Genomic DNA, 17,797 nt, shown 5'->3' with positions numbered 1-17,797 from the left:
GGTGCTGGGACAGGACCTCTGCCGCCCTTCCCTCTGCCCTACCTCAGCCAACCTTGCCCCCCAGCCAAGAAGACCCTGTCTAGGAGCCTGGCAGCTGGGACAGACCAGCCATGCCCTGCCTTGGGGACCGCTCAGCCAGTGAGGAAAGGGCCCCTCCATGATTTTTTTTTTTAAGCAGGGTCTCACTCTGTCACTAGCGTGCAGTGGTATGATCACAGCTCACTGCAGCCTCAAACTCCTGGGCTCAAGCGATCCTCCCACCTCAGCCTCCTGAGTAACTGGGACTACAGGCACACACCACCATGCCTGGCTAAGTATTTGGGGGGGTTTTCTTGTTTTTCTTTCCACCTGTTGAGACAGGGTCGTGCTACGTTGCCCAGGCTGGACTCAAGAAATCCTCCCACACTGGCTTCCCCAGGTGCTGGGATTACAGGCGAGAGCTACCTTACCCAGCCTCTCTTGGGATTGTATCTGCTCCTCAGCCTACAGGGATGTGAGGGTTGGATCCCGTTTGACCCCCTGAGCCATGGCATCTTCTCCTCACCAGCCAGGACCAGCCTCGGCTAGGACAGCCTCATGTGCCAGCCAAAAGGCTCCACTGTGGCAGGGATGGTCCCTGAGGGCCTGGGGAGAAGGCAACACGGTCCAAGACCCTCTGTTTCCTCCCACCTCCCACCTGCATCACCGCCCCAGTCCACACAGGTCCTGGTGTTTCACTGACAGGTTTGGCTCGTTCCTGCCTTGGGGCCTTAGCACGGACTGTTCCAGCTGCCCTAATGCCTTTCCCTGGGGTGCTCACCTCACTGATGCTCTTCCTCACTTTCTCACAAGTCCCTCCCTGGGGGTGCTCCCCTCCCCCAAGCCCCACCAAAGCTGCCACCTCACCCACGGCCCTTCCAGTTCCTCCATGATGTTTTCCTGTGTGTCACTGTCTCCATTACAAATTCTCTGGTTTAGGCCAGGCACAGTGGCTCACACCTGTAATCCCAGCACTTTGGGAGGCCAAGGCGGGCGATCACCTGAGGTCTGGAGTTCGAGACCATCCTGGCCAGTATGGTGAAACCCTGTACAAAAAATATAAGTGTTAGCCGGGCACGGTGGCTCATGCCTGTATTGGGAGGCTGAGGCAGATGGATCACTTGAGGTCAGAGTTTGAGACCAGCCTGACCAACATGGTGAAACCCTGTCTCTACTAAAACTACAAAAATTAGCAGGTCATGGTGGCACATGCCTGTAGTCCCAGCTACTCAAGAGGCTGAGGCAGGAGAATCACTTGAACCCAGGAGGCGGAGGTTGCAGTGAGCCCAGATAGTGCCACCGCACTCCAGCCTGGGCAACAGAGCAAGACTCTGTCTCATAAATAAATGAATAAAAACAAATTTTCTGGTTTCTATATTTGGCGGCTGACATCCCATCACACGTGAGCTCCGCCGGGCAGGGCCCTCCCAGCACACAGTAGGTCCTTGCTGTGCTTTGGATGAGTGGATGCACAGCAGGAGGGTGGGGACCAGCTCTGAAAGGCTGCAAAAGGCCCCCAGTGGTCTGGGCAGGGCTTTGGGACCCTAATTTGCTGAGCTGGACCTAAGGGGGATGGGGGGTGGTTGTGAACGAGGACCCTTCCCTCCTCCATCCTGAGGCCGGCAAGCACGGCAGGCATAGGTCCAAGCTGCTCCCTTGGAGGGGCTGGCACGAGGGGGCCCCTGCCGCAGGCACCCGGGCATCAGAGGGGCTGGGTGGGCTGGGAGGGATGCTGCATCCCCACCTGTCACTGGCTCCGTCCTCAGTCTGGGTCTGTATGGGCAGGAGGTGGGGACGGGGTGCTTCCATAGAGCATATGGCCTCCTGCACAGGGCAACGCCGTGCCACCAGCTCCCCACTGCGAGTGGACCCTCAGACACCGTGACAGACCAGGGATTCCCCCCAGCTGCGGGAGTGGGCATACCTGGGAGGTAAGGGGCTCCGACCCCTCCCCGGGGGCGGTGGGGGGGACCTGCTTCTGTCCCATGGGCTCCGGGTGACACCTAGTGGCCAGGATTTCCTCTTGCACTGTGGGCCCCCAAGCCCCCAAACTCCTTGGCCTGGGACATCCCAGAAAGGAAGGGCACCCCTGCCCTAGGTCTCCACCCACAGACTGGTTCTCACGGTCCCCCGCCCCCGTGCCGGCTCTCCGGGCCTCACCCACAGGCGCACTCACACCCGCTGTGACACTCATCCCTCCCTCCCTCCCACGCACACGGCCACAGAGCCGTGTGGGCCTATGGGAAGGGGTGTCCTGGGGCCCTCTGGGCAGAGGGTCTTCTCCAGTGCCCTACCGGACCACATGCACCCCCCAACCACCCCTCACCCCCAGGAGTGCCTGCCCAGGAGCACCCCCCGTGATCAGCTAGTCCCCCCGGGGAGGGAGGCCTAGAGGAGGAGCCTTGGACTTTCCACCCACCTCCTCCCAGCCAGGCCTCACGGTTGCTGCTGTGAAAGCCAACCTGGGACAGAGCCAGGAGCCCCAGGTGAACACCCAGCCAGAACCCAGTGGGGAAGGAGGTCACCAACCCAGCCAGAAGCCCAGGAGGGACCAGCCCCAAGGCGACGTCTGCCCCAACCAGGGCCCGTCTCCTGGTGGCCCTCGAGGACATGGGCATGGGAGAGGGCCCAGGAGCCAGGCCAGGCCCAGGAGTGGGCATGTGAGCATCAGCCAAGAGCGGCCTCCCTTCCGGGCCAGGGCCAGGCCGCCTGCATCACACAGGGGAGCCCGAAGAACGGGGGGAAAGGCCTGTAGGCGGGGCTGCCCAGAACCCTGCCAACCAAGGCACGGGGGCACACGTGGCCAGCAGCACCGGGCAGCACCAGGCATCTGAGACCCCAGACCCAGCCTGCCTAAAGGGGCTGCCTTCAGGTGACACCACTGGCTTTTTCCTTCCAGAGCCACCAAGAGAGGAAGGAGAAGGTGACTTGCCCCATTTCCCAGTTGTAGGCACTGGGACTTGGCAGGAACTGACAGAAACAGAAGATGTGGGCACTTTGCTTCCCAGGCTTGCGCGGGGAAGCTGGCAGGGCCTCGGGGTCTCTACCTCCTGTGCCTTCCCAGGACCCAGGCGTCCCTCACTGCCATGCACTCAGCCCTGCCAGCTGGGAGGTGGCCTCATCCACTAGAGAGCCCCCTCCCCTGCAGCCTTCACCTGACCTCTAGTCCCCGCTTATGCAACGGAGGTGTCACAGAAGCCGGGCACCCACAGGGCAGGCTGGGGTCTCAGCCAGGGTTGGGCTAGGGGCCTAGTGGGCTGAGGACCTGCCCGGGGGGCCAGCTGCAGCCTCTGTGTGCTCTTCCCCACAGCACTCACCTGTGTGCATGGTATGGACCTTGGCTAGAGATGGGCAGGCATGGGCAGGATGAAGAGTGAGTGGGCACCCCAGTGTGCCTGCAGCTGCTGCCCAGGCTGTGCTCAAAGCCCGGAGGCTTAGGGGCTGGAAGTTCATACTCCACAAGTGGTGTGTGCCAGGGAGCTGGCCTGGAGGCCTGGGCCCCTAAAAGGGTTCTATGGGTGGAGTTAGAGGGTCCTTGCATCCCCAGTGCCCTCCCTCAGCCCCAGTGCCCATCGGGATTGGCGCAGTTCTTCCCTGGTGGGCACTTTCAGATGGAGAAACTCCTATGTCCACCTGAAGGGACTCCCATTCCTGTAGAAGGGGCAGAAGCCTTGGGCAGGCAGATGAGATTCCAGGTGGCTCACAGATGGGTCTCCTCCAGCGCTGGGACCCTGTCCACCCCGCCTCCACTGCTCCTCCCTCTGGTCTGCCCCACTTTAGATGGGGGAGGGGCATTGGAATCTTCAGTGAATGAACACAGAATTGAAGGGCCAATTGAATTGAATTGAAGTTCACACTCGTAATCCCAACACTTTGGGAGGCTGAGGCGGGACAGTTGCTTGAGGCCAGAAGTTCAAGACCAGCCTGGGCAACATGGTGAGACCCTGTCTCTACAAAAAAACTTTTTTTCTTTTTAATTAGCTAGGCACGGTGGTTCACACCTGTAACCCCAGCTACTCAGGATGCTGAGCCGGAAGATTGCTAGAGCCCAGAGGTTTGAGGCTGCAGTGAGCTATGACTGCACCACTGCACTCCAGCCTGGGTGACAGAGTAAGTAAGACCTTGTCTCTTTAAAAAAAAAAAAAAAAAATTGAACTGAGTGTCACAGCCTCAACTTTGCCACCAATATTTATAGTGCCTTTTAGGAGCCAGACTCTGGGCCAGGACTGGGATGCTACAAAGAGGAATGACTCTGGCTGGGTTAAGGGATGGTATGGGGGAGCAGGAGGCAGGGAAGGAGGAACACAATGAGTGGATGCTGCCTCCCATGGGCTAAAGAAGCCGGGGAGGGAGTGCTGGCCCCAGCCTATCAAGGGAGGGACATTTCCGGAGGGCTCCCTGGAGGAGGAGGATACCTGGGCTAAGAAGGTTCCACCAACCCAAGCACTCCCCTGGAATTCCAGGGTAACTGCAGAGGAAAAGCACTGAGGACATTCCAAGCAGCTGGAACAGGGAAGGTGGAATTAAGGGAGGCAGAAAGGCCCAGCACACCGGGGCCGCTGGGAGCCACGGCAGGGACACGTCCCATGTCCCCACAGGGCCAGTAAGGATGCAGCTGTTACAGAGTAGCCAGGCCTGGGAGAAATGAGGACCGCAGATCTTGCAGTGTGTGCTGGGAAGGGAAGGAGCTTCTTGGCATCACTGCCCCCACACCCACCCAGATTAGAGAATCAGGGAGGTCAGAGGCCCACAACAGTGGTTTTGCTTCTCCCCTGGGGTAGTTTAGAAGTGTGAGGGGGTTCACTGGCTGCAGTAATGGGGTGCTGTAGTCATGGGGTGGCAGGGACCTGCTGTGTGAGGGGCATCCCGCCTGGTGGCAAGTTGCCCCGCACCCCACACAAGAGAGGAGGGAGTTCTGTGTGGGCAGGAGGTGGGGATGGGGCGCCAACTGGGAACAATTTTGCCCCTCAGGGGACATTTCTCAGTGTCTGGAGCCACTTCTGATTGTCATGACCTAGGGGTACTGCTGGCATTTAGAGGGTAGAGGCCAGGGCTGCTGCCGAGCATACCCCACTGCACAGCAGTTATTCTGCTCAACATATCCACAGCGCGGGGCATGAGGAACTCTGATGTAGGATTGCTAATAAACCCTATCGGTAATGACCCTATCGGGAATGACTACTTCTGTTCGGCGTCTTTTCCAGATGCACAATTTCTAGGGATGCAATGAGCATGAAAGCTGAGGGGAGATGGAGCTTTGTTTTGTTTGGAAATTTACCAAGAAGCATTTGCCATTTTGGAGAAACACATCCCCAAGATCACAGGGTGGCCCCAGCAGGCACCTGAGCCCTGAGGGTAACCCTGCTCCCGTCTGTGTCTGCAGCAGTGACAGCCTCTGCCATTCTGTGCAACCCACATCTGAGTCCACTGTAGGTCACACCCAGGCCTCTTTCCAGTTGAATATACATAATGAAATTATAAATTACTTTCCTTTTATTTCTTCCTTATTTTATTTATTTATTGTTTTTAGAGACAGGGTCTTGCTCTGTCACCCCAGCTGGAGTGCAGTGGCGCAGTCGTGGCTCACCGCAGCCTTGAACTCCTGGCCTCGTGTGATCCTCCTCAGCCTCCCAAAGTGCTGGGACTACAGCATGAGCCACTGTGCCTGGCCTATTTCTTCCTTATTTTAAAGCTACGACATTAGATGGATTTTGAAAGTCTGGCTGGGATTCTATGATCTATGAATTTTACTTTGGGGTGGTAAGGAGATACAATAAGATTCTTTACAGCAGGAGAAGGAGTCTGGTTAGATGAACCAGGTTTAGATGCTCACGGGGGGCAGGGGATAGGGAGGACCACCCCAGGGTTCTTGTCTGCAGAAGGAGGATGTCCCATGGCTAAGGGAAGGGAGGTGAGACCTGGGAGTGAAGGAAGATCAATGTCTGGACCCTCAGCTTGAGCGAGGCCGGGTGCAAAGGTCTGAGGCCAGGAGGAACATCTGGGTGTGGGCAGCAAGGAGTGAAGATGGCAGGCCCATAAAGTGTCAAGAGTGAGGGAGGCCAGGCACAGTGGCTCATGCCTATAATCCCAGCACTTTGGGAGGCCGAGGCGGGGAGGATCATTTGAGGTCAGTAGTTCGAGACCAGCCTGGCCAACATGGTGAAACCCCATCTGTACTAAAAATACAAAAATTAGCCAGGCGTGGTTCTGCATGCCTGTAATCCCAGCTACTCAGGAGGCTGAGGCAGGAGAATCGCTTGAACCCGGGAGGCGGAGGTTGCAGTGAGCCAAAATCCCACCACTGCACTCCCGCCTGGGCAAGACAGTGAGACTCTATCTCAAAAAAAAAAACCAAAAAGTGAGGAGATGGGAGCGCTGGAGGGAGCCCCAGGGCACTGCAGGGGCAGGTGGAGGACGAGGGGCTGTGGAAGGGACTGAGAGCAACCAGGTAGTTTGGTCCAGGGAGGCTCAAGAGAGGTTTCAGTGGTCCTGGGGCATGGGGTTAGCACAGCAGCGCCCACATCGGGTCTCACCTATGGGGGTAGCCTACTTTTGAGATCAAAGGCAGCTCTGGGCAGAAGCCACCGGGCCCCGCTCAGTTCACGAGGCTGGCCACACCCAGCCATTGGCAGGTCTGGGTCTCTGCCCATCAAATCAACGGGGCTGGGATGAGTGCCTCAGGCCAGGAGGGGGCCAGGAAGCCCCAGGACCACGTGGCCAAGCCTCCCAGGATCACGGTTACCAGACCCCCAGGATTCAGGGTCTGGTTACTCCAGCTCCCCGCTTACCAGATGTGAGGCCTTGGGCCGATGATTCCCTCTCTCTGTGCCGGGTTTTTCCTTCTTTGAAAAGGGGAGATAACATAGGGCTGGCCCCACTCCCCTCTCCCCCAGACAATGTCCCATTTCCATCCCATGGTCAGGCCAGGCTAGTGCGCCCCTTCTGGCAGGGCCCAGCCCCAGCTAGGTTGATTGGGGTCCCAACCCATGGTCAGGGCAGAGCCGGCTGGTCAGCCTGGAGAGTCCTCATCCACAGTTCTCCATCCCTGTGACATGTCGCTGTGAAAGTGCTTCCACAGACATCCGTCTGCAGGGCCTGAGTGGTGGCGCTGGGTAGCCCACTGGTGACTCACATAAGCACAGGACTGGGGGCCAGTTTTGAACCCTCCTCCAGCAGATAGCTCAGTCCCCTGCAAGTGGCTGGTACCCTGCTCTCAGAGAGGCACTCTGCAGGGAGGGTCACCCAGGCCCGAGCTGGGGTGGAGGTCTTCTGACCCTGAGACTGCTTTGCCTTAGACCAAGGGGGCCTAATCTTCTGGCTTCCCTGGACCACATTGGAAGAAGAATTGTCTTGGGCCACACATAAAATACACTAACACTAACGATAGCTAATGAGCAAAAAAAAAAACAAAACCAAAAATGTTGTTTTTCTTTTGAGATGGAGTCTCCCTCTGTCGTCAGGGCTACAGTGCAGTGGTACAATCTCAGCTCACTGCAACCTCCGCCTTTGGCTGTTAGACTTTTTTCTGGGGTCCCTCACCGACCTTCCACGCACAGTCCCCCAGCCACCGGCAGAGCTGAGGATGCCGCCACCCAGGGGCCACATCCAGCTGGGCCTCCACCCACAGGGTCCCGTGAACCCATGCGTTCTCGGATCCGAACAGCCCCGGTGGTGTGCAAAGTCTTGTTTTTACGTTACAAGCATTCATTTGTTAGAAGTAAACACGTAGATTGCCCCAATTTTTTGTACCCGGTTTTGACGTGTCTTGGAGCCTGTGGGGGGAGCCCGCCGCAGCGCGCAGCCCCACGGTGCCCGCTCCCCTCCAGCAGTGGCCGCCCGCGCCTTTCCCAGGCTCAAGGCCTCCCTGCCCACCAGGCAGGTGGGGAGGCTGAGCCCACGGGGCCTGCGGAGCCCCGACCCACCGGCCAAGATGGGCCTGGCAGGGCGGCTCCACCGAGCTGTGAGAAAGGCCAGGCCCATCAGATAAGCGCCGGTCCCTCCCGCAGCCACCGCCACCACATGGGCTCTATCGCCTCCCCGTGCCTCCCAGCCCTGCCCCGAGGCAGGTGCGCTGCACGAAATGAATCTCACTGCAAGATCTCTCTGGTTTCACTATGAATGTCCTGACCCAGGCCAGCACCCACAGTCCCTGGGGCCTCCCCTGCATCTCTTCTCTCGGGCTACAGCAGAAAAGAGCCTGAGCCGCTCTCAGGAAGGACTTCCCTGGCTCCCAGCTGACTCTAGTGGTCCCCGGAGAAGCCCAGGAATCCTAGCCTGTTCTCCCCAGCCCTCTAATACAAGATCCAGCAGAGGCCCGGACTCTGACATCGGGAGAGTCAGGCCACTAGGTCCAGCTCAGGCACCTGGTCTCAAGGACCAACGCGGAGGCTGCCCTCTGGTGGCACGTTTTGGAATGGCGGGTGTCCTTAAATGGAAGGATATGGGTAAAGGTCCCACGGAGAGGGTACCCTGGTCCCGGAGGCTGGCCCCACAGGATGCAGGGCTGGGAACCCCTGGAAGGAGAGGAGATCCCGGTTCCAGATCAGAAGTCCAAGCCCTACCTTCTCGTGTTCCCTACTGGGCTGCACAGGGCCGTGAATGCAGTGGCTTCAGGGGAGGACATGGGATAATAGGAAGATACAAGAAACCTGGCCTCCCTGACAGGTCACCCCCTCCTCCATGCCCCTTTTAGGACCCCAGGACCTGGGGAGCAAGAAAGGCGAGTTCAGGCAAACTGCCCGTCCAACAGCTGTGGGCAGCGAGGGATCACATGCTGCCCTTTTCCTCTCCACCTCACAGGGAAAAACTGAGACGCTCCATGTCCAGTCTGTAAGTCAATGGCAGAGCCGGGACCAGAACCTGCATCTCGCAGCTCGTGAGGCAGACACTTGGAACCTCCATGGAGAACCTGTGATGTGCTGGGGGCAAGGCCAGGTCTCTGCCTTTGAGCCTGGGGAGGTGGCAATGTGGACACAGAATGGGCACGTCTTCCATTCTGGGGACCAGGAGGCTTCCTGGCCAAGGTGATGCCTGGCCTGACTCATGAGGGACAAGCATGAAGGTGTGACAAGGTACGGCCAAGGAGGCAGCAGGAGCAGGCAAGGTGTGACAAGTTACGGCCAAGGAGGCAGCAGGAGCAGGCAAGGTGTGACCAATGCCTGCTGTATTTGGGCACACAGAGTCGGAGTTATTGGCTTGAAAGAGAGTGACCATCCATCCAGTTTGCTGGGACGTCCTGGTTTATATCTGTCAGTTGTACTCTGCTGTGATTATAAATAGTGCCTCCTTTCACTTGCAAACCTGTCTCAGTTTGGACCATGAATTAAATGATCTCCCTCCTGACACCTGCCTGTGGGGTCATTCACAGCCTGTGGCTGCGCTGAAAGAAGAGGATCCGAGACAGGGAGGGTTCCATTTGTACCTCGGAGCAGCAGCCCTGGGTTGGGGAGGAGCTGTTTCAGCCCCCAGGACAGGGTGGGGGTGCAGTGCACGGGGGAGTGGGGAGGTGGTGAAAGGCCCAGGTGGGGTGGTCGGAGCTCTGGGCGTGGCAACTGGGATCCCGACCCCACTCACAGGAGGGATGGGTTGGGGCTGGGTGGGATGTCACAGCCTGAAAATTACAGGGAACAACACCCTGTGGTCATTCTAGAAGCCCCACCAGCTATGCAGGCCAGGCCAACCTTAGACCTGGGCAAGGGGGTCTCTGCTGTGGACCCCGTGCCCTGGAGAGCCAGGACGTCACCAGCAGCAAATGCAAAGAATTTTTTTTTTAATTTCAGTCTCGTAAGAGTGTTTTAAAGGTTGATAACTGAACAACAGTGAGTTGTCGGAGAGGACAGATGCGAAAAAAAGACCCCACAGGCCCAAAGATGTGGGGCTGAGTGTTGAGTGCGTGTGTGGATGAGTGTGTGAGTGGTTGTGTGTGATTGCAAATGTGTGGTGGTGTGAGAGGTTCTGTATGGTTGTGTGTAGTTGTGAATGTGCGGTTGTGTGTGTGGTTGTGTGTATGAGTGTGTGAGAGTGTGTGAGTATGCAGTTGTGTGTGTGGTTGTGAGTGTGTAGTTGTGTGTGGTTGTGTGTATGTCACTGTGTGAGAGTGAATATGAGTGGCCGTGTAGGTGGTTCTGTGTGGTTGAGTGCATATGGTTGTGTGTGTGGTTGAGTGTGTGGTTGTGAGCATGAGTGTTTAGGAGTGTGTGGGGTTGTATGTGGTTGTATGTAGTGTGTGGTTGTGTGCATGTGTGTGACAGTGAGTGTATATGTGGTCATGCATCTGGGTATGTGAGTGAATGTGGTTGTGCAGGTGTGTGAGTGTGTGGTTGTGTGTGTGGTTGTATGTAATTGTGTGCATGTGAGTGTGTGAGACTGTGTCTGTGATTATGTATGTGTGGTTGTGCATGTCAGCGTGTGAGAGTGTGTGAGGTATGAGTGTGTGGGTGTGTGCATGTCAGTGAGAATGTGTGGTTGTGCATGTGTGTGTGGTTGTGTACGTGTGAGTGTGTGAGAGTATGCGGTTGCACGTGTGTGTGATAGTGTGTGGTTGTGTGCATGTGAGAGCGAGTGTGTGGTTGTTCGTGTAAGACAGTGTGTGAGATATGAGTGTGTGGTTGGGTGCATGTGAGTGTGTGAGAGTGTGTATGTGGTCATGCATGTGGGTGTGTAAGTGTATGGCTGTGCATGTGTGTGAGTGTGTGGTTGTGTGTGGTTGTACGTAGTTGTGTGTGGTTGTGTGTGTGTGTGTCTGGGCAGCCTGGTGTCCTGGTACCTGTCTGCGCTCCTTCCCTGTCCTGCTCCTTGGTGAGATTTTGGGGAGGAGATTAGAATGCCCTGGAAATGCCAGGTTGGAAAAGCGAGGTGGCGAAAGGGTGCCCAGGCCAGCCCCCAGTCAGGAGCGTGCTCACACCCAGGGTTCTCGGGCACTGTCTTAGCTCCCACCCCAGTGGATGACGGCCATGAGAACCAGGGGAGACCACGCCCCAGGGGCGGGCTGCAGGGCCGGGTGTGAATGAGGGCTGCATCGTGGGTGCAGTTTCATCTCTAACTTGGAAATATGTAGGCCTCCCGGGTGAGGGGCTTGCATGTGTGTTTGCGCCCTTGGCCCACCAGTGCAAGGGTTGAACATGGTTGTTGTTGGGGAGGTCCAGGGAGGGTGCAGAGAGGAGGCAGGAAATGCAGGGCAAGGCCAGAGAAGGTGGGGAGAGAGAAGGAGGCAAGCACGACAGAAACAATGTCCAGGGCTGAGAATCCATGAGACAGAAGCAGAAAGGAGGCCATAAACTAGCAGGTGCTTGCAGCTTGGAGAGGGAGTGGTTTGGGGTCAGGATGGTAGAAACCAAGGAAAGACTGGGGCTGCCTGAGGAGATACCTGGGCTGGACGTGGGAGTGTCAAAGAGAATGGAAGTGGCGTAGGAGTGCTGAGTGAGTTTAACACCCACGAGGGAGTCAGAGCAGGCCGCAGACCCCCTCCCAGCATGCAGATCCTGACCCTCCCAGGACCCTGCCCAGGCCATGTGTAATGTCCCATGTTTGTCAGAGTGTAACCTACACACACAAACATGCACCAATCATCTAGTGTTCCCCTTAATGAATTTTCATAAACTGAACATACTCGTGAAACCAGCACCCCGATCAATAAGTCAGACATGATCTGCACTCCAGGGCCCCTCCTCAGTTCCTATCCCCAAATTGCTGCCCAGTTCCTACCCCCAAGAAGGTAAGGATAAACCTCTATCTTGACTTCTAACATCAGCATTCATTTTGCCTATTCTAGAACTATAAATGCAATCATCCCAGAACTGGATCTCTTGAGCCCAAGAATTCAAGACCAGCCTGGGCAACAGAGCCAGACCCTGTCTCTACAAAAAAATTTTAAAAATTAGTCAGGCGTGGGGGTGCATGCCTGTAGCTGTAGCTGCTCAGGAGGCTGAGATGGGAGGATCACTTGAGCCCAGATGTTGGAGGCTGCAGTGAACTACGATGGTGCCATTGCACTCCAGCCTGGGCGACAGAGTCTCCGTCTCTTAAAAAAAATTAATGGAATCATCCCAAAATGTAATCTTGTGTCCAGCTTCTGTTGCTCAACATTGTTTATGAGATTCACCATGTTGCAACATAGTAGTAATTTGTTCATTTCCTTTGTAGCACAGAACTCCGGAATTTACATGTACTCTAAACATGTTCATCCATTCTACTGTTAATGGCTATCTGGGTTGTTTCCAGTTTGGGGCTACTAGGAAGACTGCTATGAATGATATCGTAAATGCCTTTTAGTACATTTATATATTTATTTCTGTTGGAGACATACCTAGGGGTGTATCTTAGTTCGTCCTCTCCAGAAAGCAGTGCCTGGGGCAAAAGCTTAGAAGGTACTTCTGTTTCGTTTTGTGTTTTTAGAGATAGGATCTGGCTCTGTCATCCAGGCTGGACTACAGTGGTACCATCATAGCTCATCACTGCAGCCTCAAACTTCTGGGCTCAAAGGATCCTCCTACCTCAGCCTCCTGAGCAGCTGGGACTACAAGCATGCACTACCACGCCCAGCTAATTTTTAAATTCTTTGCAGAGATGGGGTCTCACTATGTTCCCCAGGCTGGTCTCAAACTCCTGGCCTCAAACGATTCTCCCCCATCAACCTCCCAAGGTACTGGGATTACAGGCATGAGCCAGGGTGCCTGGCCTTAGGTAGAACTTAACTGGGGGATGCAATTGCAGGGAAGCAAGAGTAAGGGGGAAAGGAAGTGAACAGGGATGGCATGAGAGCCAATATGAGGGTGAGTTTCAGAGTTGGCCACCACTTGGTGCCAAAGGCAGCTGATGCTGAATCTTGTAGTAACATCTTCCAAGAGGTTTTTATAAGGAATATGATTCATAAGGGTCCATCTGGGATGAGGTAGAGGGAAGAATTTATCCACTGACTCCCATCTGCCATTTATCCATCTGCCATTGTCCAAGTGAGATAGGAGAACAGGGAAAATGAGGCAGGAAAGTAGCAAAGGGAATTGAAAGTTGGATAAAGGGCAGAATAAGTAAAAGCAGAGAGCAGAAGAAGCAAGGTGAAGGGGCAGGTGAGCAAGAAGCCAGACAAAAAGCAGAGGTTCAGCAGCCAAAACAAAAGTAAGATAAAAAAGTGAGCAGGGCCGGGTGCCGTGGCTCATGCCTGTAATCCCAGCACTTTGGGAGGCTGAAGCGGGAGGATTACCTGAGGTCAGGGGTTCAAGACCAGCCTGGCCAACATGGTGAAACCCACTGTCTACTAAAAATACAAAAATTAGCCGGGCGTGGTGGTGGGCGCCTCTAATTACCAGCTACTCAGGAGGCTGAGGCAGGAAAATTGCTTGAACCGGGAGGCAGAGGTTGCAGTGAGCCACCGAGATTGCGCTACCGCACTCCAGCCTGGATGACAAGAGTGAGACTCCGTCTCAAAAAAAAAAAAAAAAGCGAGCAGTATCCCATGGCCGGCAGGATCCTGACCAAACCAGTAAGGGGCTGCGCTTCAGAGATGGGCATGTGCATTGGAGAGAAAAGGTATCCTTAACATAACCCCGTTATGATAATCAGCTACTTAAGGTTCATGCATATGAGCTGCATATCATGTATGTACTTAGGATTATGGGATGGAGGCAAGGTGCAAGCGCACGGGGGCCAAAGTAACTAAGCAACACACCTGTCAATCAAAAAGATAGACACTGGCTAGAGATTAGGCAGCCTTGGGAAGAGGGGGAAAAAAACAACATATAGAAAGACCCAAAGTACACCAAACTAATGCCGATCTCATCTCACAAAGATCAGTCCACTCTTCCTCTCCAAGAGTGGAATACTGCACTTAATACACTTTTTGCTATCTGTATATGTCTCTTCCAATTCTTTGTTCAAGTCGCCCAGATCCTGGAACTGTGTGGCACCATTCAGTAACACAAGGATAGGCCCGAGTGTGCTAACTCTCCTGCATTTCTGATTGCAAGTTTGTGGGTGCCAGATTGGTCCCTTATTATCTCATTCCTCAGGGGCATCAGAGAATCCCTGAGGGTGATGGGGGGTGCTGGCAGGTTGTACCTGCACCTGAAGTGGGAGGAAAGGTGGCAAAGCCTTGACACCAAGGTGAGGCTAGGGGCTGGGGAGGTGGCGTGATATCCAAGAGGCATCTAATACAGAGTGGAGATGCTGGATTTGGAGGTACTGCCAAATGGTTTTCCAAACTGGTGGTACCAACTCCACATCCTTGCCAACATTGGGTGTGTAATTTTCACCATTTTGGTGGCTACTCAGTGGTATCTTATTCTCGTTTTAATTTGCATTTCCCTGATGGCCCATGAGGTTTGAGTGCCTGTTCAGGAGTTTAACAGTCATTGGACATCCTCTTTTGGGAAGCACCTATTTAAAGTCCTTTGTTTTTTTTTTTTTTTTTTTTTTTTTTGAGATGGAGTCTCGCTCTGTTGCCCAGGCTAGAGTGCAGTGGCATGATCTCAGCTCACTTCAACCTCCGCCTCGCAGGTTCAAGCGATTCTCCTGCCTCGGCCTCCTGACTAGCTGGGACCACAGGCACTCACCACCACCCCCGGCCAATCTCTGCATTTTTAGTAGAGACAGGGTTTCACCATGTTGGCCAGGCTGGTCTCGAACTCCTGACCTCAAGTGATTCACCTGCCTTGCCCTTCCCAAGTGCTGGGGTTACAGGCATGAACCACCATGCCCGGCCTATTTTAAAACTTTTTCCTATTGATTTGATACATATTTTTCAATACAACTCATATGCTTATATTTTTAGATAGAAGTCCTTTATCGGCCATATGTATGGAAATAACTTCTCTCATATGTGGCTTACTCTTTCCTCTTTAATCATGTCTTTTGACTGACAGAAGTTTCTAATCTTAATGTAGTCCAATCTGTCACTTTCTTACTGTGTTTCTTATGTCTGTTTAAGAAAATGTATCTATTCTCTCCCCTGAGTTTTCTTCTAGCAGCTTTGATGTTTCACCTTTCACACGTACATTTCACATGTACATCACCTGGGACTGGTTTTAGGGTATAATGGAAGGGTGACATTAAAAGGGTTTTGGTTTTTTTCTTCAATATATAGATCCACCACCACTTATTGAAAAGCCCGTCCTTTCTCCACTGTTCTGCAATATCAACTTTGTCATAATAAACCAGGATGGGTCTGTTTCTGGATTTCTGTTTTCTTCCACCAGTAGATTTGTTTATCTTTGCATCAATGCCACACTGTCTTCCTTACTGTAGTATAAGTCCTCCAGATTTGTTCTTCTTCACATACTCTTTAGAATCAGCTTGTTGAGTTTCATCCCTCCAAAAAAGCCTTGTAATCAACAACAAAGTTGTCTGGTGCTTTGATCAAAATTACATTGGATGTATTTATCAATTCTATAAATCAATGTGGAGACCAACATTTTAAATTCCAATCCATGAACATGGTATATCCCTCCATTAGCTTATGTCTTTAACAATTTCTCTCAGAAATGTTTTGTAGTTTCTTGCATAAAAATTGTACACATCATTCACTAGAATTATTTTTAGGTATTTGATTTTATGCTATTATTAATTTCATTTTCTAATTATTTCTAGTATATAGAATACAATTAGTTTCTGTATATTAAACTTCTGTCTAGCGACTTTGCTAAATGAACTTATCTTCCTTAAATTAACCTGTAATTTTTTTTCTACATACTGAATCACATCATATGTGAATGGCAGCTTTATCTTTCCCTTTACTATCTTCATACCTTTTTACTTATTTTTCTTGTCTTATTGCTCTGGCTAGGACCTCCAGTACACTATTGTATAGAATATTGACAAGTGCCAACATCCCTTCTCATTTTCAATCTCAGTAGAAAAGCATTCACACTTTCACCACTAAACATGATGTCAGCTGTAGGGTTTTTGTTTGTTTCTTGGTTTCTTGGAGATTTGTTTTTAGGTAGATACTTTTATCAGATTAAGGAGGTTCTCTTCTGTTTCTATTTGCTAAGAGTTGTTTGTTTACATCACGGATGACTGTTTTTTGCATCTGTTGAGGTTTTCCTTTTTTCTCTCTATTAATGTGGAGAATCATGCTGATTGGTTTTTGGATGGTAAACCAATCCTACTAACCTTTTGTTCCCATTGAAATTTGCAGGTTCTAGTTCAATTCCACGAAAAGGACCTCCTGAGCTATGGGGCCTGGCTGACAACATACAAACTCCATCCTGTGCAAAGCCCTAGGCCGACCTTTCCCCCACAAACGCATACTCCACATTCCAGGTCCCAGAGAGACACCCTCGAAAACCACAGGCTTCAGAGCTGCGAGGCTTGCGCCAGCCCCTGCCCCTTGGCAAGCTGCCCCTGATTGCACCAGCCCTGGCTAGACCCTCTCCCAGCAGACCCTAGAATTGCGAGGGCAACTGGGGGGCTGGGGAGAGTCAAACCAGAAGGTCGAGGCCTCTGGCCCCTAACACCCGCGACAATCAGGGGTCTCCGGAGCCAGGGCTGCCCCTACCCTGCGCGAGGCTCCTTTAAGAGAGTCGGCCTCTGAATGGTCTCTGGGGCTGGAGGTGGAGGGCGCCAAGAATGCCGGTCTCCGACGACAGAAGCGAGAGGGATGCAGCTTCGCCGGGTGGCCTCCCCCTCGGCGTCCCACCAGCACGTCCACCCTGGATCCTCCCGCTCCTACTCCTACCCCAAGTCCCCGCCCCCAACTTCGAAGCTCCTGTGTGCCTGCAAACGCCGGCCCCGCCCCGCTCCCACCTCCAGGCCCTGCCGCTGCCAGGGACCCGCCCCTGCCAGGGACCCGCCCCCGCCCCGTCCCACCCCGGTCCACCCTGCAGCCGTCGGACCCCTGGCAGGGCCCCAGCAAACCCGGAGGCCGCCACTGGGGGGAAGGACGGGGCGCCCGGCGAGGCCTCATCCACATGCAGGGGACGGCGCGTCGCGGCGGCCGCCAGGAAGAAACAAAGGCTGTTCCGCCGCCGGCCGCACAGTGCCAGGCTCGCCCCGCCCGCCGCCCCGGTGGCCCCGACGCGGCCCCCCTGGATCTTTTCCGCCGGCCTCGGCTGCACAGTCCGGACGGCTTCCGGGAGGAGGCAGCCTCCCTCGGATCCCCGCACTCCCGACCCTCTCCCGCGACCACAGCCTCCTTCTCCGTGTCTCCCGGGCATTCCAGGTCGCCTGGCCTTCTTGAGCCGGGCTGGATCGCGCGGGACCTGCACCAGAGACCCGAGTTCTAGTCCGCTGAGCCCTCACTCTGACCTGGGACGAGGAGCCTGTAGTGAAGATCTCAGGCCAGAGGTGGCCCAGAGCCTGGTAGGGTGGGCGAGCCGTGTCCAGGACTCGTCACAGGTCTTGGGTCCCCGTGATGAGGATGAGAGCCCCCGGGATCTTCACCTCGACCCTCAGGCCTTTGATCCAGGGTGCATAGGACACCCAGACCCCTCAGAGGAGTTCCAGACCTCAACCCCCACCCCTCCTGAGGTTGTCCGCCTGGGAGCCTCAGGAGGCACGAGAAAGGGTTTGGTCTCAGCCCTGCACTTGCTCGGCGATCGCTACTGATCTCTGGGCTTCAACTTCCACCTGTAGAATGGACTCACCCTGGGAGCTGTCTCCTACACACACACACACACACACACACACACACACACACACACACACATCGTGCAGGCATAGAGTACTAAAGGGAGCACACACTGCATCCCCACACGCGGCCAGCTGTTATTCTTGCCGTCCCCCTCGGCCTCCCTGAGAGCAGGGATTGTCTTGTCTCGGAGCTCTGCTCCCCAACCCGGCCCCAAGA

General features: G+C 54.4%; 5 annotated features.

Moving 5' to 3' along the window:
• Window positions 2,129-2,228: a silencer, noted in NCBI's record as "silent region_10493". NCBI's record gives its function as "represses an Ori minimal core promoter by ATAC-STARR-seq in GM12878 lymphoblastoid cells {active_cell/tissue: GM12878}" and the evidence as "EXISTENCE:reporter gene assay evidence [ECO:0000049][PMID:35858748]".
• Window positions 8,502-8,651: an enhancer, noted in NCBI's record as "active region_14445". NCBI's record gives its function as "activates an Ori minimal core promoter by ATAC-STARR-seq in GM12878 lymphoblastoid cells {active_cell/tissue: GM12878}" and the evidence as "EXISTENCE:reporter gene assay evidence [ECO:0000049][PMID:35858748]".
• Window positions 9,589-9,758: an enhancer, noted in NCBI's record as "experimental_51216 CRE fragment used in MPRA reporter constructs". NCBI's record gives its function as "activates a minimal promoter by MPRAs in K562 erythroleukemia cells, with activity observed for both the introgressed and non-introgressed 19:33725078 or rs1559182 variant alleles {active_cell/tissue: K562}" and the evidence as "EXISTENCE:reporter gene assay evidence [ECO:0000049][PMID:34662402]".
• Window position 9,673: a transcriptional cis regulatory region, noted in NCBI's record as "Neanderthal adaptively introgressed variant 19:33725078 (GRCh37/hg19 assembly coordinates) or rs1559182 in the experimental_51216 CRE". NCBI's record gives its function as "modulates activity of the experimental_51216 enhancer by MPRAs in K562 erythroleukemia cells {active_cell/tissue: K562}" and the evidence as "EXISTENCE:reporter gene assay evidence [ECO:0000049][PMID:34662402]".
• Window positions 10,895-11,062: a silencer, noted in NCBI's record as "fragment chr19:33723689-33723856 (GRCh37/hg19 assembly coordinates)". NCBI's record gives its function as "represses an EF-1alpha promoter that drives an FKBP-Casp9 reporter gene in an ReSE screen in HepG2 liver carcinoma cells {active_cell/tissue: HepG2}" and the evidence as "EXISTENCE:reporter gene assay evidence [ECO:0000049][PMID:32094911]".

The sequence above is a fragment of the Homo sapiens genome, chromosome 19 (assembly GCF_000001405.40).
Source record: "Homo sapiens chromosome 19, GRCh38.p14 Primary Assembly".
NCBI lineage: Eukaryota > Metazoa > Chordata > Mammalia > Primates > Hominidae > Homo > Homo sapiens.
This window is presented reverse-complemented; position numbering and strand designations above follow the sequence as displayed.